This window comes from Homo sapiens, chromosome 18 (assembly GCF_000001405.40).
Source record: "Homo sapiens chromosome 18, GRCh38.p14 Primary Assembly".
Taxonomy (NCBI): domain Eukaryota; kingdom Metazoa; phylum Chordata; class Mammalia; order Primates; family Hominidae; genus Homo; species Homo sapiens.
This window is the reverse complement of record NC_000018.10, coordinates 56,106,181-56,128,803: the sequence shown is the minus strand read 5'-3', so window position 1 is coordinate 56,128,803 and position 22,623 is coordinate 56,106,181. Positions and strand designations below refer to the sequence as shown.

Genomic DNA, 22,623 nt, shown 5'->3' with positions numbered 1-22,623 from the left:
AGAGGAAACTAATGTATTACTTTTAAACAAGTTTTCCACCCAACTAGACAGAAAGCTGTAAGATGCTTCTTCATATAGGATGGTGCCATGCACAAAAAAGGGAGCAATGCTTCTCATTTAGATAAATACTTTTCAGAGTGCTTCAAAAACTACATTGCATCTATCATTTTATTTTTTATTTTTTTGCACTTTCTGGCACTTTGCCAATTGCAGGATCCACACTAGAAAGAACTTGGTGCTATCGTGGGGCCTAAAAAGGAATAGCTTCTGCCTGCATTCTGGAACTTCTGATTGTATATCCTATTAAGAGTGGCTGTCTTCTTTAAATGTGACCTCTCAGCATCTTTTGTATTTTTCCATTTCCAAAAGCCTCTGGGGGTAGAGCAGAATGGAGCCATGCTTGGCCCATTGGCGGAGCAAAGTTATGAAGGAAAGGAAACAACACAGAGCTTGGAGAGAACAGAAGCTTCTTCTAGAGCCAAGAACACAGCTTTGTCCCACAAGCTGAAAACTGAGTCTGGGCAAGTGGGTCTCCCCTATGCCTTAGTGGAGTGGAAAGAGAGGAAGGAGACTGAGTTTGGGGAAGTTAACACCAAACCTTCTCTTGGACCTGAAATTCCCCAGGAATCTTGAAAACAGATTGTGTTTGGAAGGCAGGGTGTCTAAGCCAAGAGCTGCCTAAACCAGCCCAGGCCAGGGAGCCAGCCAATCTGTACTGGATTTTTCTTTTCCTCACCTTTAATGATGTTGTTTGTGCCTCTGGACTGACATAAGGGCTGGTGGGTGGCAACAAGAGGTGGAGGATGGGAGGGCGTCGGGATTTTTCACATATGAGTGAGAAAGAGAACAAACTGTGTCCACCAGAGGCAGTGAATGATAACATTTTCGTAAGGCCATAGACTGACCTTTTACCTGGGTGTTGGGGTAGGGAGGGTATTTTCAGAATTACCAGAGACACTTATGAAACCACAGCATCGAATAACACTGGTAAGTATCTTTGTCATTTCAACCCTTCAATCTAAAGTCTTATAGATCTCATAACCCACCATTCCTACCCTTCCCTAAAGCTTTCTCAGCTTTAATGTTATGCCTACAGATTACAGCCTGCTCATCACTTCTTTTAGGAGAGGTGACAACTAAAAACAAGCATAGGTAACAAAAGCATCTATTTTCTCTTTGATTGTTCCTTCTGTTTCAAACCTCTTTGCTTCCAACATGAGTCTCCCATTAGCTTTCAATTGTAATCTGAGTTGCTCAATTCTTCCCTTAGCTGTGAAATACTCACTTTCTCTTGCCCTGAGAATGTTTTTTTGTTGCCAGACTAAACCCGTGTGTGTTTTACAAGAGGTTATTTTCCCCCTTCTTAATAGAAACAAAATAAACTGAAAATCCACAGCACAAAATTATTAGAATAGAAAGTATGAAAATTGTCCTTAAGTTAGCAGCCAGGCAGCAGATAAGGAGGAATTTCCTAAGGGAAAATGATCCAGAGGGCATACACTGTTGTTTCATAAACCAGATGGTGCCTATTGGGACCAAGAAGCCCCAATTTATTCTGCTGTAGCTGAACTTACTATAAAGTATATTAGTGACCTAAAAAAAAAGTGGATGCAACTTCCTGAATTCTTATTTATGATAGACTAAGGGCAACTGAAAAAGGAAGAACCCAGAAACACATGTTAAGAGGGTGTAAGCCAGATTCAACTACCCACCTAACGTGCCTTAGGTCCCCTGTCCTTCCAGCCACACCGCTTGGCCAAACCCTTTAAGCCATCTCCTCCCTCTTTTCCATGCTGCTTCTCTGCTGTCCCAGGCAGGATAACAAAGCCTTCTCCCAAACATGGAGTGTGTCCTACTGAGCTGGGTTGGGAACTTGGATTCTCTGCTTACTAGGTGCCCTCTCTGGATGGAGTGATTTCTACTCCGTGAGCCTGTTGCTTCAATTGTAAAATGAGATTAGTAAAGATTATCTTAGTGGCTAATTATAAATGTTAAATTGGAACATAGAAAGTGATTAGCTAATAGTAGCCCTTATTATTTATTGCAATGATAACAAGGAGACAGATCACTTAGCACCTAACATTTACTCAAGAGTGATGTTCAAAATGTTTAATAGAAGTCTGAGCATAGTAGACTTCATCTCACCAGAGCAAATGATGGTCCTGGTCCTGGGAATAGAGGTTCCTGCTGTGCCCTGCATTAACCCCTCAGTTGCTAGATTGTAGGGAATGGAGGTGGGTGTTTCAGGGAGAGTTGGAAGGGATGTGAGGGGCAAGCTGGGTACTCAGCTGGCTTCAGGCACAAGTTATATACCACCCAAAGGAGACGAACTAAAATGTTTTAATTGCAAGTAACCTTGTAGCAGTAGAAATAAGTTAAATATTAACCCTGCATATAATGCCTTGTACTACTACTTAACATGTTATCTGCACATGGCATATTCTCAGGTAGGTCACAAGCTGGTAATTGAATGTTGAAACTAAATCTTGTGCTTCTGACTTCTCGAAGTAATAGAGTCAGTTATCAGAGGTGTTCAAGAACCATTTGCTGTTTGGTTGTCAACTAGAAGATATTATTATATATTATTTCTATGTATCACTCATATTTTGACAACTTTTTAAAAGGGATTAGTGGTGATTTAACACACAGGACAATGGATGCCTTGGAATCGCATTAGGTCAAGGGCAATAATACAAGATCCATTGAAAGTAATGGCAAAAACTGCAATGACTTTTGCACCAACCTAATAGTAATGAAACATGGCAAGCCACATTATGGTCTGTCTACCACAGAGCCCAGAGCATCATAACAACCAAAGCAAAAAGGGAAACTGGTTTGTTGCACAGATTCAATTATTTAATAAAAGGAAGCACACAGGAAACAAATATCTCACTCTAAGAGAAAATAATAATCCTGATAATCATTTGAGAGATTTGAACACCAGGATGGGCATTGTCTTCAGGAGCTGACCTTCCTCTCCCTCTTCATCTTCACTCCTGAGCTCCTGACCCTCCTCATCCATGTGCCCTATGTCCCAGCTATTGCATAAGTCTTGGTGTGCACTCATCAAGCCATAGCCTTCCATCCCATGGAGTTTTTGCAGAGGTGAACCCTCTGCGTGAAATTCTCTCTCCTCATTTTCTTCCTCCATCACACAGTCCAAATTTAGCCCCTCTTTTATACCTGACCCCACTGAGCTGGCTCTCTGATACCTCCCATCCCACCCACAAACTAGGCCACCTACACCCATTATAGTCACAGCTCAGCAATCAGTTCAGAGAATTCACCCCTTCTACCTTCTATCCACAGCTTTAAACCTGTATGCTCCTATCTGGCTTCAGTTTCAGGGCCTGGTATCTCAATTCTTTCTCTGGGACTTCTAGATGGAAAATTCCTGTGAGCAGCCTGTTGGCTTTCGATCTGGCTTCTCCCCAAAGCAAAAGTAGCCTTTCAGATCATCCCTCTTTGTAACAGATACTACAACTCCAGGAGGGCATCGGTGTACCTTTGTGTGAATTAGAAAATGTTGCCCAGCTTCATCTATGTCCCTGCAAAGGACATGATCTCATTACTTTTTATGGCTGCATAGTATCCCATGGTATACATGTACATTTTCTTTAACTAGAAGCCATTATCCGCAGCAAACTAATGCAGGAACAGAAAACCAAATACCACATGTTCTCACTTATAAGTGGAAGCTGAACAATGAGAACACATGGACACAAGGAGGGGAACAACACTTACTGGGGCCTATTGGGGGAGAGCAGGGGTGGGAGAGCATTAGGGAAAAGAGCTGATGCATGTTGGGCTTAATACCTAAGTGACAGGTTGATAGGTGTAGCAGACCACCATGGCACATGTTTACTTATGTAAAAAACCTGCACATCCTGCACATGTACCCCAAAACTTAATTTTTAAAAAGTTGCCCAGAAGGGAGAGCCAACTTAGAAACCCTAGGGCTGCATGGTTCCATGGCCTTTTCTTCAGGTGGACAGCCCTTCCTGCCAGGGCACATGGTTAACGGAGTGGAGCATGGAATGAATCTCAGAAAACCCCCATGTGCCCCCCTTCCCCTCTACGAGGCCCAGGTACCTGTGTGTACCATGCAGACTTCACATCCCTGGGTAAGGGCTCAAAGTCTCAGGTTCCTGGGGCAACTCTTCAGCTCACAATGAAAAGCAGCAAATACAAAGTCTTCCCTCATTCTTCCAAGTGAAATCTGAGTCTTTCCTTTGAACTTAACTAATGAATGTTCTTCCATTAGACATGCTATTTCACATTATGAATTTGTGCGTGCATGTCTGACTCCCAGGGTTATGAGACTTGAGTCATCTGCATATTTCTAAAGCCTTTCATCTACCTATTACTCCTCCAAAAATTCTCTTAAATGAATCAGCCTATGAATATACAGCAGAAAGTTTTAATGAGTCCCCTGGTTCTCTTGATTAGCTCCATTACCGACAATGGTCAACAGAACTACAATTGTGCTAAAGTATTTTTGTTCATCAGGCACATGTTAGGTCAGGAGCATCTGGACAGACCTTTTTGAGGGTAGAAGCTGGAGTCAAGTCTAGACAGGATATCCAGCTGATTGTTTGGTCAGATTTTTGCCAAAAAGGGAGAATGTCTCTTAACTGGCAAGTTAATTAGAAGTAAATCTTTATGCAAGATTAGGGTATAGTTCTTAGAGGAGGACTTAGAGACCACTGGGTTAAATTTTCTTCCTCTTCCTGTGACTTATTATATGTTTCTAATTTTCTTTAAAACTATGGGCCTATAACATCAGAGAAGTTGCTCACTCAGAGCCAAGCATTGAACAAGAGAGGTGTCCAAATCTGCAACTGTTGTGTGCCTCAGTAGCAAGGTTCAGGATTTGCTGCAATGTATGTCTGTGTAAAAATATTACTTCCTTTGAGATGAAGTTCTATTGATAACTTCTCTAGGCTTTACCAATCAAGAAAAAAGGGAAAATCAGTCTTACCATTTGCCTACACAAGGTGCATTCATGGCACATTTGTATCTAATCTGTCTAAACATTTCTCTTGGGTGACAGATAGACTTGTGTGTTTGAATCATGGAGGTCATTATGTGTTCACAGAGCTCTTGCCTCTGGTTCAATCCTCCTGAACTCCCAGTTTTTCCATCACAGTTTTTAAAACAGTTAAACTTGAAGAAAATGCAAATTTCATGGAATATTTTTACTTGTAACCCTCACATCTTTATTCCTGAAAATGGTAAATAAAGAAGGGATAAAAACCAAACAAGAATAAACAGTAACTTCTATAGAAAAGTGTTCATTTAAAATGAAAGTAAACTGCTTCTTAATGTTTCTCAATGGCTAAAACAGTGTCTGGCACGTAGTAAGAAATACAACATATGTATATGAAAGAATGACTCTGATAGGTAGCAATTGAACAGTATTGAACCATGATTATCTAATAATGTGAGCCAATAGCCACCCTTAGAAAAATAGCCTATCAAAATTAAACTATCCCTTTTAGGTCTTATGATGATTATGAATCAGCAAACCCCTATGTCACCTTGACAGTATGAGTCTTTTGGCTCCTGGGTTCAAGAGATTTCAAGTACAGATTAGTCTGCTGATGAAGTCCTAGGCTTCTTATTGGTGAAATTATACAGAAGGAGAAATCACAATAATGATAATGAAAGCTATCCTTGATCTCCTATCATGCACCTGTGACTGTTTAACTCTGAGATACAGGTTTGAATATTCACTTTTATAGGTGAGACTAATTCAGGGAGTTAGGGGCAGAATCTTAATTTGAATCTACATATATCACAGACACAAAACCTGTGTTCTTTCCTCTTTATTCGTATCAACCATCCAAGTTGCTCATTTAAAGGAATCAGGTTAGGACTAAGAGTAATAAACCCTTAATTTATAATGCCCTACTGACATTAACTAAAATCACTTTCACCAGCTTGCTCTTACAGTTACCAAAGTTAAATTGTCCAGTTGCTAAATAATACCACCACCACCACCACAAAAAACCTTAAAATGCAAAATGACAATAAATTAGTCTCCTAAAACAAATCTTTTGTGAATAAATATTGTTAAAGGTCATAAGGATGATTACCAAATTAGAATATTTGCCTTTAGTTCTTGATCCTGTCTAAAAGACAGCTTTTGATTGCTATGGTATCTATTATGTTCCCTTGAATCCTCAGAATGAAAGCAAAATGCAGTTATCTATGTTTGAAATTTAGAATTGAATGGTTCTATGGTTACCAATTACCCAACACCATTTGATAGGACTAGCCTAGATGATGATGGCTCACCAATTTCCTTGCAAGGGCAAGAGCTGATAATCAACTGACTAATGAGGATTGACTTCTACAATTGATGAGCATGGAATTGGATGTGCCTAAATCAACAGAAGAGGGATTTTGATGTCATCACACTGTAGCCCCAGAAGACAGAACGCTCAAAGGTGTCAATGGGCAGAATTTGTAGATGACATACAGCATCCAATGGATTACTCCTATTCAGGTATTGCTTAATGTAGAACAAACAAGAAGTTTAACTGGTGGAAAAAAAGGTTATAAGATTTAATAAATTAGTTTTAAGCAAGAATGAGTCCAGGATTCCTATCTTAGACAATTAAATAGTGTCATTAATCCAGATGATATTCATTAATGTTGAAATGACTAAAACAAAAGAAACTGAAGGTTTAGTCTTTAGAACAAAGGAAAACAAAATTAAGAACATACCAGTAAAAACATGGAAATATATCATTAAGGTCTTTATCTAAATCAGAATAAGTAAAAAAATTGTACCATGAGTAAATGACTGTCTGAATTTTAATGCCAGAGATTTCTCTTTAGGATAATGGAAGAAAAAGGTTCTTACCCTTCAGCAGATAGCATGCTGAGCCCTGAACAAATTTTATGACTTCTGGTGCAAAGCAGACCCAGTCAGCTTGCCTCTAGCAACTGGTTAATACTACTCCAAGGAAACCACACTTAAAATTCTTGGAAGTTCTTTTACCATCACATCAAGTTGCATTTTGAAGCTGAAGCCCTTCGAATCCATTTATACCTTGTGATATTCCCTTGCCAGATTGTTGTTTTGTTTGCTAGACATGATTTTAGGATTTTGTCAAGGAAGCCATCTATGACCCCAATCAATCAAAACCATAAGGATCAAGGCTGGAAGAACCGTAAGTGTTCTTTGACAGTTTGCGTATCTAGTATTGAAAGACATTAATCTTCCTAACTCTCAAAATATGTGTTTCAGTGCTACATATTTTAACAGATCACACACTCTTTCTAAAATGTTCTTCATTTTTCTCCCCAATGGAGCCCTAAGCTCTATCACCATTCTCTCTGTCTCTAGTATTCCTTAGAGCAAAGGATGCAATGTCAAGCAAGTTGTGATACCTCAACTATCTACAATTTAACACCAAGGAAAGAACACTGTTTGGAGAAATGAGAAAGATTATCATCAGTGTCTTTCAGAAGTCATCAAAAGAAGAAAAGGAGAAAAGAGAGGAGAAAGCAGAAAGGTATAGGAAATTACCAGTTGAAGTATGAAAATTGAAGAGCAAGGAAAAAAGTATTCAAATGTTCATATTGAGGTTCATATACGATTAAGAAGGAGAAGTGTAACTTAGAAAGAAATTTTGTAAAAAGGAACATTTAAAAGGATTATAAAATGCTTATGTAAAAGTATTTGGAAGAAAGTCTCAGCCACCAGTCATTTATTCTAAAGTAGGAGAAGGAAGCTTGTATATCTGTATTGCAAAAATCTTTATGGTAAAAAGTGCCTCCAGGCACTTCATAAATCGGAAATGGGTAAAATATGACTCGTATGCTTTTATGCTTTTTAAAATATGTAGATTTAAAGCAATGTTGGTTTTAAACAAGACAGTTGCTCAAAGCAATTCTTGAGACCATGCCTCTATGGCAAATATCAAGTGGTGGATAAAAGCAATTATCTGAGAAATCATGCATCTTACATTAATAGAGCATCAACCGGTAGGGCAAGACTTTGTAGATTCAGAGTATGTAATCACTGACTTATCCCAGTGTAGTTGACGGGGCACTAAAAGAGCTCATCTACCCCAAATAACTCCCTTTCTGAATTAGAATTAGCACCTGTGAGGACCACTTTTTTAAATTAAAATATATTTAGACAGCTCCTGCTAGAATACATATCAGCTACCCATGCAGGCAACACAACAATACAAAAATGATCTATTATTGCATTAAGTTGATCTAGTTAAAATCTTAGGTAAACCTGGAAATTTTTGTGCAGAATCCAGAGGGTATAGTAAAAGGATAGAGCCATTTTACAGAGGAAGAATATTTCAAGAGTTACAGACTTGAGTGAATTGCTCAGAGAGGAAAAAGCCAGAATCCTGGACCTCAGATGCGGCTTCCTTAGGGCACAGAGCATTTGCAGGGGAGGGCCCAGTAGAAGAGTATGGAGTGATAAATACAGTTTGCCTTTTTAATAATATTCTCCAGGGATGTCCCTGCTAGGCTTTCTGGAACCTTATTCTAATCTTAGTCACTATAAATCAAGGATAATTTGGTCTGTCTTAGTCCTCATGCAAACATACCCTACTACTGAAGTATCATAAAGGCCTTGAAGTAGACTGAATGCTTGGACACTGCCTTGTAGCTAGGAAAGTTGACCCATCATTGGGGTCTGATATTCAGGTGGATCTAGGAGGTCAAGACTTGAGTTATTCACTCCACCATCACCTCCCACTCCCACACACATATTTGTATAAGAAATAATAGTCAAGGACCAATAGCTAAAAAGAGATGTGCATCCAGTGACCAATGAGCTAAATGGCCCCACTGGATCTGTAGGAGAAGAGCTTTATAATGTAATGCCTAGATATGCTCTTACCGGGAACCCACATTCCAAAATAGAAATAATGATAGGAAGTAAAACAGGGGCTTTCCCCCTTTTTGGTGACTTCAGTGAATGCTGCCTGGCACGTGGACACACTTCCTCAACAAATCATGGCGTTGTTTTTTCTCCTTGTTTTTTCCTTGAATAACATTTCCACTTTCCTCCAATCACTGAAAATAATAACCAGTATCTTCTCAGTATGTGCCCCTGAACGCTGTATTTGAGAAAGGGTGCTGTGACCTCCCAAAGACAGATTTGGCAGGTAGCAATCTTGGGGAAAAGGGAATGTGTGTTCACTGTTGGTAACACAGAATGGAAAATCTCAGTGTAAAAATCATCTGGCTAGGAATTTTATGGATTCTTCAGTTTTCTCCAATTCCCACTTCCAGCAGTGGTGGATGAGAGAGACTAGAGCAATTCAATGCTTGTGATAAACTATTAATTTCAACAATTAAGCAAGAATGCTGTTGATATAGCTTGAACTTTGATTAATATTTGTTATTTTAGTGGGATTTAGTAGAGAATTTTTCTAGTACAGTAACTGCAATGCAGATATCCTTGGTTTGATTTAACACTTTGCCTTTGGGGATTGTTAACTCTGATGTTGTTCCTTAGTAACCACCATAGGTCACCAGTAACAGAATAGTTACCTGGACTAGAATCCCTAGAGGAAGACGACAAGATAATCAAGAATGACCCTGAGTCTTTGACTATGTCTTCATTGGGAAGCAGTTTACTTTATATTCTCTTATCAATATTGAAGTAACCATAAGTGTAAATCTATCCCCAGCTCCCTATGAACGTGGAACGCTTTTTATTCTTCCCAGTGGATTATTTAGAAAAATACAGCCAGAGTTTCATTTCAGATAACTTTCTCAAAATAATAATTTTAAAAATGTGTGTCTTTTGAGGGTCTGCCATGGAATGAAACTTGTTAGAAGTGAATCTATTTATTTTATTTAATTTTGTTCGAAGCTCCATAATCCCATTGTGAAAGCCCCTAACTCTTAGGAGGGCTGCTAAGCAAGAAGGAAGACTGTGGGTTTTTAATCTTATTTTTTCCCCTCCCTTCCCTTCTGTTGGTGAATTCTATTTGTATTGCAGAGATTGAATTCTCAGTTCAAGTACGTTCTTGTTAATAAAAGAGACATGGGTGAGTCCTCTAAATCCCTGCACATATTCTTCTCAGATGAAAAAAACAGTCTGCTTACTAAATATCCATTTTTCTTTCTTGTTGGCACTCTCTCAGGAAGAACCAGCTCAGGGCAGAGTGCGCTGGGGCAGCAAATGTCAGAGGGTGCAGAAAGAGGTCAAGTGTATCACTCCTTGGAACCTATTGGTTAGTTTTGAGTTGACCAAAGCTACAGCAAGTAATTTCATCATTAATCTTAAAAGGAAAAGGGATGGTGACAAACAACCAGAGTTGGTTAAAAAAAAAAAAACCAACATCTGTAAAATGTCTTCCTTTTTATGGCTGAAAGTGATGGTTTGGAGAAAGTATGTGAACCTCCTTCAATTAGCAGAGCTATTCCATTTTTATTCATATTTTCTAAAAGAGAAATTTTCATTCTTAGACAACCCTAATCCTGTTATGAGGCTGGTAATGTGTATCATTTTTAACCCTTGACATCATTTTTCATTTGACAAACTGGGCCTTCCTTATCAGTTGTTTTAAAATTTCTTCCTCTGTGCTGCTACTGGCTTTTGGCACTTTCATTTAAGCATAGTTTAAAAAAAAATTCAAAGAAAAGATCATTCTTTTCCCTGCCTTGATATAAAGATGAACCAGTCAATCATTCATGGAGTACCCTGCTCACATCTCATAGTACAATTTCAAATGTTGATAATTTACTTTTGATGCTAATTAATTACAAGTAATCATAAAAACAAATTAAAAGCACTATACTTATTGCAGGTTTTCTTATGCTCCTGAAATAATGCATTTTTATGCATCTGTTTACTTGCTTTGCAAAAAAATGTAATAATCTATATTCATAGAAAAACAACTTTAGTGCTCTGCGTCAAAGCTGTAAACTGTTATTGGTTATTTGGGTTTTTTCCCCCTAAGATATTAAAATGGAAGAATGAAAGTGAGCTACATCAAGTGAAAGAGATTAATGCATTTCAGGGCTAACCTAAAAGCAGGAATTTAGGATTTCTTTTTCATTCCTGTTTGCTTGTTTGTCTTTTTAAGAGGCAAATAAACAAACAAGCAAACAGGAAAGAAATATTTTGCTCTTGAAAATTGGTTGCAGGGTGGAGAACCAGCTTTGGCTTGCAGGCCTAGAAGACGTATAAACCCCAAGAGACACTTCTACATTTTCTCTGCCAGGGGAAGAGGAGGGGGGATTACTTTTTGGGTTCTGTTCTCTCCAACAAAGAGGTCTTTTCACCCCATTTTAGAAATGTGGTGAATGGAACCACAGCGTTATCTTCCGCAGAATCACTATTCATACTCCAATTTCTCATCGACTCCTCCTCCCACCTCCTTAAAAGCTCAGCTGGGAGGCAGCAGAGAGTAGTGGGGAAATAATGGGCAGGAGTCAGGACACCTGTGATTCTGGGGTGGGCTCCTGACTATACCATGTTCTACTCAAAGAGAATCACTGACCTCCTTGGACCTCAGTTTCCTCATCTGCAATGTGCAATGTATGTCTTCAGTCTTTCCTATATCAAAGGAGCTGCTCCACGTGAAGATGGGATGATGCAACTGTGCAAGTTGTAACAAAAAGAGAAAAGCAACAAGAAGAGAAAAGCAAAGGCTCTTTATTGAGAGCGTGCTACAGCAAGGGGGTCATCCACAAGCACCTGAATTTTGGCAGAGACTCGAAGGCAGGCAGGAATGGGAAAGCTTTAGAGTGGAAAACAGGGAAAGCTTCAGGTATGCCCTGATTAGAGCCTGTTGAAATGGAAAAGTTGGAAGCAGCCTAACTAGAAGTGGGGTGTGCTATGTGATTAATTAGAGGTGCATATTTGGCTTCCTCTTATTGGTCCTAAGTTGGAAACAGGGACAAAAAATAGGAAAGCTGCCAGTTATTAAACAAATTCTGGCCACTTGGAGCTGATTGCTACAGAAGTTATTGTATAGCTTCCTAGATTGTCACTAGAGACAGCAGACTGGCTTCCTGCAAGTCTGACTTCTAGCAGGCTGGCTTTCTAGGTTGTTTATAGTAGATAAAAGGTTGGTTTCCTGGAGAGCTTGCTCCAGATTGTGGATCAAAGTTCTAATTTTATATATGGTCTAGCCATTGGTCACTTACGTATTTAGTTTCCCACAACTGAGGTTACGCTTGAAGATGGTATTCAGCAAAGCTGGGACTTGTACAGGAGTAGAGTTAAATTTCTTCTAAATATATTAAGGTAGTTTAACTCCAAAAATTGCCTCTAGGGTAAACCCAGAATGAAATATAATTTTTGTGCACACACATTTCCCATCCCCCACCCCAAATGAGATTCTATCTCCAGGCATAAGTTATGTGTTAAGTCTGGGTGTAAATCTTATTTGAACCTGAAGAGGTCTCTGAAACCTGGTCACTCGATTTGTAAATCCTGGGGCCACCTTGAAGCTGTTAGAAGTCAGCCCAATTTGAGGGCTAGGTTTTAATTTATACGATCAGTTTTTTTTAGCAGTTGTTAGTTACACACTACTGTTCAGAAAAGCATTGCCTTGTAGAATTTTAATTGATTTTCACAAAAATGCATTTGGTTTATCTACATAAATAATTTGCATTTATGAATGTTTGGTTTGCCCTTTTTTAGTCCCTGAAAATCCTAAGGAACAACATATCAAAGCATATGTTCCTAGCCCTATTTCTAGACCTTTGGAAATACCAGGGAAGTCATAAGCACGGAGGGGCAATATGGTAGAGTGCCTTGCAGGCAGGCACATCTGGTAGGACCTGGCTGCAGCACATGTGACTTTAGGTAACTGAAACTCCACGGACCTTGGTTTCTTCATATGGAAACAGGGGGATTAAAAAACCTACTATGATTCCTAGGAAGTTTAAATGAGGTAAAGTTAAAAGTGCAAGCAGAATGTCTGGCACCAAGTTGGCACATAATAAATGTTCCTTCCCTTTTCTTCCGCCCCCTGACTTTTAGAAAATGTAGCTAAAAGAAGGAAGTAATCTCTGTTCCTAAGATCATCTTTGACTCACTCCCCAATATTTTTTAAAAATCCATCCACAAATGGATTTTTTAACCTTTCTCTTCCCTGTTCCTCTTTGCTGTACTTTCCAAAGGGAAGAAGCAAGTTGAGGCAGGCTCATCAGGCCCCCTCCAGTCATAGAGTCTCCTCTAGTGCTTATCCTGGAGCACCTACCAGACCCTACTCTCTTTTCTTTGTGCATCTTTATCCTCTCATACTCACCCTATTCAGCTGTGCACTGATCCCACCGGACAAGCAGAAGTTGGGAGGATGTGGTTTCACCTCTGCTTAAGATCTGCGTTGCTGGCCTGGAGGCATTCTTGTGAGCAAGGAAGCATCACTTTGATAACAGAATGGCTTCAAGCTGGATTTGGTTTCCTGGTTTGACATTCTGGGGTTCCTGCTGCCTCCATCTTTAGGGTAGAAGATGTGCTGAAAGACTGTGCAGCCACCATAACAATCAAGCCATGTCTCATTTCAAGTCAGGGCTGGAGGAGCACAGAGCAGGGAGAATGCACTGGGTTCCTCTTTCAGACAACGTTTCACACATTTTAGATTTAACAATACCCTAAAGGCAATCTACCCAGTGCCTTACTCTCATAATCATCAAACATGTTTGTAAGGGAGGTTTAATCAACATAGCTCTCCTTCATTGGCTGTTAACCCATTAAAGTGTTATTTTAAGAATTAGCCGCCATCAATTTTGAAGAATCACAGAGTGACTAAATATCCCGGTGTCTAGAAAATGGATCTATGCCTAATGACTGGCAAGGAAACCCCTTAGCCCCAGAGTAGAGAAAATACTAGACTACCTCATTTAATACCACTGTCTGTAACCCCCAAGCCCCCATCTCTGACTACCCCACCAGCCTACACATTCAACCACATTTAACTAGGCAGAATAATTTCCTGGCTTGGAATCATTCTCGCATATGCCTGACCAGTGAAAGGAAAATTCTTAGTAATTTTCCGAATTACTGTAAGCAGCCAGCAAGAGGCAGGATAATCACAATTAATATTTGAAGATGTTTTTCCATTTATAGTACTTTTTCTTAAATAACATCTCAACTGACACTTAAAAACAGGTTTGTGGTGACTTTTATATTATTATTCTAATTTTACGATGAGGAAGTTGGGGCTTAGAGAGGAAGAAGTTGTCAGAACTTGAATACAATCCCCTCTGACTCTCAATCCTGCACTTGATTATTTGACACTATAGTCTTCAGTCTTCACAGGGTGCCCTAGCTCAGATGTGTGGGACAAATATTGAGGGTTTTGCTTAAATGGAGTGGAGGGAGCAAACCCAACATGCTCTCTGGGCTAACCAGACTCTGGAACGAGCACCACACAAAATTGTGACATTTATATTTGAAGTATATCTTCCTTCTCTTTTCTGTGCTAATTTACCTCCTACTTGCTTTTTTCTGTCCTTCTTTACCCCCATTGTAGTGCCCAGATAAGTCATTAAAGAGTATAAATGGAAAAAGAAGAGCAGATAGGTTTATCCTCAGTCCCCAAATCCCATCACTTCTATGACCCTCCAGGGCATTTTTATGATTTCTGCATTTGACTGCCTGGTATTTCTGCCCAGAGCACAAAGAGTACAAACCCCATAAAGTGCTGAATATATACACAACCCGAGCAACTTCATGGAGACTATCAGAGCAGAACAAAAGCACAGTGTTTTAGGAGGCATGGCCTTGGAGAATCACCATCTTCAGAAGCATTTACCAGACAGGTGAATGCTAGTACTTGTTGATGGCTGTTTATTTGCTCCAAAACAGCAACAGAGCCTTCATACCAGACCCTCAAAAGAAACATAATCTAGAGAATTTTCACTCCAAGTGAAGAGCAGGTTGTAGAGATGACAATGGTAAACAAGTCAACTGAGTAGGCTTGAGCCAAGAAGATAAAATGCACAGTCCAACTATTCTCTTACTAGAGCACCACCTAACCCAAGTATTCTCCTGGAATTGGGCAGGCTCATTTGGCGTGCTTTTGACATAATCTGCAACTCACAGAATAAAACAGTTGGAGAAAAGGAAAAGAAAGGAGGTACCCAGGACAAGCTGCTTTCTTCACAGTTATGTTAAAGGCCAGTCTCGATAGAAGGAAAACCACAAACCTAGGAAGCAAACACAAAGCAGAGCAGAAATTGGAAACCTTCAACAGGAGAGGCTACTATTCAAAATTAGGATAATGGTGACATTTACTCATTCTAAACTTGGAACTCAGATAAATAAAAAAGGCTGATGAAAGCTACTGATAAAAATGAAGCTGGAGTGCTGGATGCAGGAGTCTGGTTTCCTCTTTGTTTTGGGCGGGGTGTGAACAAACTTTCCCCTACAAAGAAATTTAGAAGAGAATTGGACAAAGGGCTGGGAGCTAGGCAGGAATAAATACAGAAAAGAATAGAGTTGAGGGCTCCTCTTTGTCATAAGCAGGGGAAGCCATGTAATAGAAAGGTCTAGAAAGGAGGCAATCAGATCCCAACAGTGGAAATGGTCTCATTAGAGCTTATATCTCTGGATTGGTGGTGTGGTGATGGTGGTTTAACTATAGCCAGCTTTGAAAGGCAATGACCCAAGACTTTTTGGAAAGCCCCATCTGATGTCCTATTTCCTGATCTTACAGTACATCCTAATATAACCCATATCCTAGGTCTGAGTTATAAAACAACAAAATGAAAAGTCATTTGGCCCATCCATTCATCCATTTTTTCACTGCTCGAGAAGGATTTATTGAGTAAATATTTCATGCCAGATACTGTGCTAGATGCTGGGAACATGGACACAAGGAACAAGTGCTCTCTGCCCATTGAGAAACAGACAGCCATGTATTCAGACAATTATAAAATACTATGATTAATGATAGAAGAAATAGCTAGGCACAATAAGAACAGATAGTAGAGGCATGAGAAAGCCTAGGGAATCTAGAATAGGGTATGATTCTTTTTCCCAAAATAAAAAATATAAGGGGACACATTTCAGGGACATTTAGTACATATTTGATGCAATAAGCTCTTTTTAAAATTAATTTTTTATTGATATATGATAGAGTTACAACAAACTTTACAAATCTTGTGTTCTGCTAAGCTTTTACATGCATACATGTGAGTCATCACCACTCATATCAAGATACAGAATATTCTCACACCCCAGAAGGCACCCTCGTGCTCTTAGTCAATACCCTCTCCCTAGAGGTAACCACTGTTCTGACTTCTGTCACCTTGGGTTAGTTTTGACTGACTTCAACTTCCCAGAAATGAAACTGTACCGTATGTATTCTTTGTGGCTGTCTTTCTCCACTCATCATTAACTCGATGAGATTCATCCAGATTATGTAAATGTCTTTATACTAAAATGAGGTGGCAGTGGAAGTCGTTCCTGGATTTTAGGATTTTTCTCGAGGGGAGTTAATTGGCTGGGAAAGGGGAAACAGATGGTGGAGTGGAACAACATAAAAGTTTAGATTCAATGAGGGAGGGTTTCAGTTTTGCAGAGACCACTTGCTAAGTGTGTATCTTGAGAATATCAGTCTCTGAACTTCAGTTTTCTTCTCTGCAAAATGAAGATAACACCACCACCTACCTCACAGAGCTGTTAATATAATGTATGTAAAAAAGATCAGTTCTAAACTGTAAAGTGCGATACAAATAGATTTTTAACTGTTTTCATTAGTTTATTGTTTCTGCACAAATAGATATGTGAGTGTGTATTTATGAATGGCTAAAGATATGTAAAAGACAATTTTTCTATTATGCCTTAGCATACTCTTAGCAATCAATTGGATTTTATTACTCAAATGCAATTTAATTAACATTCAACAACTGCCTTGTTAAATTTAAAAATTTATTCTAGTTGCATGTGATCTGAAGCTAAAACATGAGTTGGTATTCTAAGTCTTGGGATCTGGTTGTCAAATCAAACAATACTTTGAATTTACCAGACATGTTATAACACCTGTAATAATGCACATTAAAAAGTGCCCTATCTTGAGCCTCCATTTCCTTCTGTTACAAGTCTTGCATTGTAAAACAGCAAAGGCAAACATTCCACAGAAGGAAGGAAAGGTTTTAGATTTCTTCTCAGTTTTTTTCCTTTTGATTTGCAGTTTGTGACCACAAAGGGAAAATGCAGAGATGAATGTCTCTTGAAATAAGAAATGATAGGAGATGGCTAGGGCTGAAAAGTTTCCATTTAAGTTAGGGGAAAGTGAAACTTTGAAAGTGACTTTTTAATTTCTTGAATTAATTGGTAAATATCTTACGTGCTCTTCCACAAGATTATACATTCAAAATTAGAAAATAGATTCATTCAAATTCTCTACCAACTGTTGTACATGCTCTTGCTGATGGGAAACGGAGAATTCATTTTCTCAATGGCTACATTGCCAGCCATCATCTGGAGGGCTCTGTCTATAAACATGAAACCAGAAACGTTGGTGGGAGGAGACGTTAGCCAATCCCCTACCAGGCTGTAAGTAATACTACATCCTCCACCTGGCACCATTAATAATCCTATTCAATGAACCCTTTATTATTAATATTACTGGCATAAAAAATGACCCCACACTTACAGGTGTAACTTAATGAGGCACATGTTGTAGCCAGATGTCTTACAAGGCCAACTCCACCACCACAGTACACATCTTTGTGCACGTTTCATAAAAGGAAACCATCTGAAAGCATTCATTTCAAGAGCATATTCATCACGTAGCATGGTCAGTTGAGGAGTGACGCTCTTTTACTTAAGTTTAAACAGATGGATCAAACCTGGGAGTTATATTCAGCATACCTTTTTAAAAAATAATTATCTGATTTAAACTGCCAAATGTATTTTCTTCTTTTCGCCCTCTTCATGATAATATTGAGGAGTTGGCAGCATGGGCACAGCCCAGAATTAGGGGGTGTCTACCATTCAACTGGCTCCCACCTGCTGCCTTTAGAGACTGGGCTCTGCGACAGAATTTCTTTTCATTCTCTGCATTTGCTAAATTCTAGAACAGATTTCTGTCAAAACTCAAGTGGCCATTTAGAAGTTGATTTAAATAATAAGAATGGCACCTGATTGTGACAATGTAGACGTCTTGTGCAAACTTTCTGGTCTGGGTCTTCCAGAGGAAGTAAAGTGTCCTGTGGCCATAGATGTTGTCTGTTCATATGACACCTTACTCCACAGGAGATACACCTGCTTTTCACTGCCAGCTAATAGCATGGATGCCCTTGTGCCAACTAGCCTTTGCAGGAATCACATCTAGAGTACAGATTTGTTGCCTCTCTAGTTCTCATTAGCTCTTCTGCAGAGGGTTCAAGGTTGGTGTCCGTGGTGGCTTAGATGGAACCACTGGGCTAACATATATAGAATGTAAACTAGTCCTTGAAAAAAGCATCATGCAGAGATAAGAGAAGAGCCTAAGAAAAAATATAGAAGAGGAAACAATCACTCAAGGCCAGACATGTGGGTGTCCTCCAGAGGATAAAAGAGGGGGGCTCTAGGCAGGCTTTTAATTCTGCACGCCTTCAAATTGATGGTCTCTAAATATGTTCAGAAAAGAACAAGAATAGGATGTTATATGAAGGGAAGGGCAGAGAAAAGGCAGTGGGTGGCAGCACTCAAAGATCTTCCTTCCCAAATAAATTCAGCTTTGGCCCCAAGCTCCATGAGAACCCTGATTTTAAGATGACCCAGTCTCGTTTGAAGGTTACTTAAAGACCATCTGTTGACCTCAAGCATGTCTCATAGGGGAACGCATCTGCCTTCCAAGCAGCTCACCAAAGAATCCCTTCCCTCCGCATGTCAGAGTCTCCCTGAGAGGAGTATTAGAAATGCAGTTTGCTCCATCTTGCGACATTTCTGGTGTCATTGGAATACCCCTGGGGATTTTCCAGTGTCAGTAAGATATTCCTAAGAGCACTTAAATGCATTTGTGCATTGGTGTACCATGTACCCGTTTGAGTGGTCCACTTCTCAGTCCAACTCTGATCTTGGTGTGCAGGGCAGCAGTAAAGAGGTGAGCAGATCTAATTTTCTCATTCCACTACTTCCCAGGAGTTGAATTTCCCCTCCCACATCCCTGCTGCTCCTCTCTCCTTGTATTCATCCAGGGAAGGGCCACTTCAATTCATCTTTCTCTTTCTTTTCATCTCTGTTAGAATGTTTATCAGAATGTCTCTGTCTCTGTATCTCACCCTACACACACACACACTCCTCTCTACCTGTGCTCGTTCTTCTCCATCTGCAGGCAAACTTTCTCCTCTTCCAGTGTTCACCTGGCAGAAAACATGGCTGCTTAAGTTGTCAAAGTTTACATATTACATCCTCACTGTTCTCTCTCTGGAGAGAGAACAGTTTTTCTTTCATGGTCTTCTCTTCCAAAGATCTCCAGGAAGGACTCTGGTGGACTCCCTTCTCCCAACAAATCCCTCTCCCTCTGAGAAAAAGTGGTTTGGATTGTAGTGTAAAAATTAGCTGGTAGTTGTAGCCAAACTTCAAGTAGCAGAACCTTGGGAAATCACCAGGCAATCATGAAGAAACAGGAGGTTAAAACTACATTGTGGAGGCTCTGGGCACAGCCAGAATATCTGACCATCCTGTTTTCAACAAAATGTTGTTTCCAGAAGAATGATCTTCATGATTAATAAGTCAGGGGCGTGGAATAGATTGACTGCAGCCGAGGGAGAGAGGAGCCAGGGGCACAAGTTTAAAGGACATTACTTATCTACAAGGATGTCCACTACAGAATTATTTATAATAAGGGAAAGATTAGCAAATATAAAAATGTCTAACAATCAGGGATGAGCTAAATAAATAATAATAATAAATTAAGACAAAGAACCATATGATGAAACACTGTGTACTCAACAAAAATTCTGTTATGGAATATTATTTAGGAAACATATTTCAAAGCTCATGATTTTATATCTAGTCTCTTGGGAGATATCACATAGCACAAGTTGAAATCATTGAGTCTAGAAACAGTTGAAATTCAAACCTGACTTTGCCAAACCGAAACCAACTTTTCTCATAAATACTATCTAAGCCTGATTAGATAAAACTGTTAAATCTCTTACTTGCTATTTTTCCGGTAGAAATGTATGCAGTCACTATATGATTTTCCAAGAATTTGGTCAAAATAATTGTTATTAATCTCTTTCACAAAATACATTTTTAATCATTCCAGCTGATCCATCAAATCATTTGGCACTGACCACTTTCAATTTAAAATACAACTTTTGCTTCCTTTGGAACAAAGTTTGGGAAAACATACTGTTGATGAGATAGATAAAAATCACATGATCTCTGGCTAGGTTGTATCTTATCAGTGGAAAAATATAGCATTTCAGATTCTTTCGCTATCAATTTGAGCATTCCTTTATAAGTACTAAGCTGTTTCATGGACTATTAGCTGTGTGAAGGAAGTCATGCTTTAAATCATTTTTTAAAGCTAGTTTTAAGAAAAGTGGAGAAGCACATTAAATGAGTAAATAAAGTTCAAAGAAGGCTGCAGTGGCCAATGAAACAGTGAGCTCTTTGCTGACAGAGGCTTGAGAATGCCCCAGCCTGGAACCTCTGCACATCCTTATATCCTCGGTGCAATTATGCACTTAGCAAAAGCGGTGTCTTTTGTGAGATATCTTCCAACAAGTTTCATGGAACTGGCTTACAAAGAGGCATCGCTTTAATTGTGGTACAGGAAAGAATAGATCTATGATCTCAAAAGGACAGAATACTTGTAAAATTTATGTAGCTCTTTAATACAAGGCGCTTTGGTTTAAAGAGTGGGGAATTTACATGTGTTAAGTGCTCCTACAAATCCACTTTACCCTTTCTTGGAAAAGGGCAACACAATAATAAGAGTTAAATTTATGTGTAAGATGTCTGTATGGTAGAGCTGCTCAAATCAGTAAATATTACACAGTTGACTAACTGCCTCTGCTTTTAATCTTTAAATATCTACAACGAGTTGCTGTCTGCTGAGTGAGGGACACTTAGCCCACACTCTTTAAACCTTTGTGGTCTGGTTCTATATTATGAACAGAAGATTATAAAATTTAAACTCCAAATGGGCTGCCTGCCCACTGTTGTTTCCAGAGCCTTCCTACCCTGCATGTAGATGTCAGAATTTTCTTTCTTAAATAACATTTTCAAAAAGAGTGCTTTTCTATTGAATTTTATATCCTATTTTCATCTCTCTGTCCTTACAAGCCTCTAACAACTTAATCTCTTTTATTTTCCCATTAGAAAAAAAACTCGTTTCTCATTTTTCTTTAGCATAAAACTTACAAGCAAAATTTTTAAGTATTAACTAGCTCACTTGTTCATTTTACACACACACACACACACACACACACTGTATATGATCAACATTGTTTTTAAAAGAAAGCAATATGTCTACATATTCCTGTCTTTCGAACAGCACCCCTACCAACTCCTTGCCACTGCTGAAGGTCTGGGCCTCTCCTGCCTTGTCTTGTCATGAGATTTTACTCCTCTTTGGCTACAGTTGATGGGGGACCAGGGCTGCAAACCTGACCTATGACCTGGGCCATTCAGATTCTTTCTCTTAAGAATATGAACCATGAGGCAAGAGACTAGAGGTCATGGTGCTCCCTGGCCCATGAAAACTTGGTGCAGAGAGAGACTGTCTGCTGAGAAAAGCAAGAGAATGGAGCAGATGGTAGATCATGTGGCCCCAGAGAGAAAAAAGAGACTGAGAAAGTAGCTGGTTAGCTCCTGATGATTTTCCGGGCCCCAGTTCAGTCTTCAGAGGACTGGCTGTACTTCCTGCACTAAGGTTCTATGTGATATCCCTGTATCGTTATAACAAATCCCTCTGGTCTTAAATTAAGTAGAGTAGATTTCTGTTTCTTGAACCCAAATAAATACTAAGAAAATGTACACATAATTATATGGAGCATGCAACTATATTTGCCCTATATTTATGCACATGTAGATATCACTCATATTCATAGATGATTGATGCTATATGCAAGAAAATAAGTTTAAAACAGTGGCAAATACAAAGAGTTGATTCCTACATTCATATGACTCTCAATTAACAAAACAGGCAGTGAAGAATGAGTGCTCAGTGAAAGGAAACCACTGCATAGACTCCAAAGACTTTGGAAGAGGAAGCTTACATATCCCACAGACTGGGTTGGTCAACTGAGGGAGAGACTTAGGAGAAGGAGAATAAGAACTGTGTCTTACATCCCAAAAATCAAACAAGTAGGGTTTAGGCAGGCATCAAGAATAAGAAAGAGAAAGAAGTAAACAAAAAGAAGTAAATGAGAAGGCTATGGGGTGTTTTGGGGGGAGTTGGCAAGTGATTTAAAAACCTTGCTATGTAGAAGATTCAGATTGCAAACTGCTATGTACATGTTTTTAGCATTCTTTCTTTGCAGGGAGGCCCAATATCCCTGAGTTGGCAGCTCTCTGTGGGCTAACGTCTTAATTTTCTAATGTAGAATTTCAAACTGATTGGATTGGTAAGGCTTATTTACTAAGCTGATTGACTTTTTTAATAGATACTAATATTTTGGTAATTTGTAGAAATAATAAAATCTGCACAATAACAGCTTTTATTT

The 22,623-nt window shown here is 39.2% G+C and overlaps 2 long non-coding RNA genes across 3 annotated transcripts in view; both read left to right on the top strand.

The window, feature by feature from the left end:
• The window catches only part of LINC03069 (long intergenic non-protein coding RNA 3069), a 187,650-nt gene that overhangs the window by 62,459 nt on the left and 102,568 nt on the right, over positions 1-22,623 (top strand). The window lies entirely within an intron of this gene.
• LINC01539 (long intergenic non-protein coding RNA 1539) overlaps positions 1-22,623 on the top strand; it is a 54,181-nt gene that overhangs the window by 8,733 nt on the left and 22,825 nt on the right. Inside the window, exons 3-5 of one of the 2 annotated variants that reach the window (NR_040025.1) lie at positions 6,316-6,511; positions 6,847-7,181; positions 7,358-7,526. This is a non-coding gene — a long non-coding RNA (long intergenic non-protein coding RNA 1539). Of the gene's footprint in view, positions 1-6,274; positions 6,512-6,846; positions 7,182-7,357; positions 7,527-22,623 lie in introns of both variants that reach the window. The other variant, NR_040026.1, reaches the window with a different exon arrangement.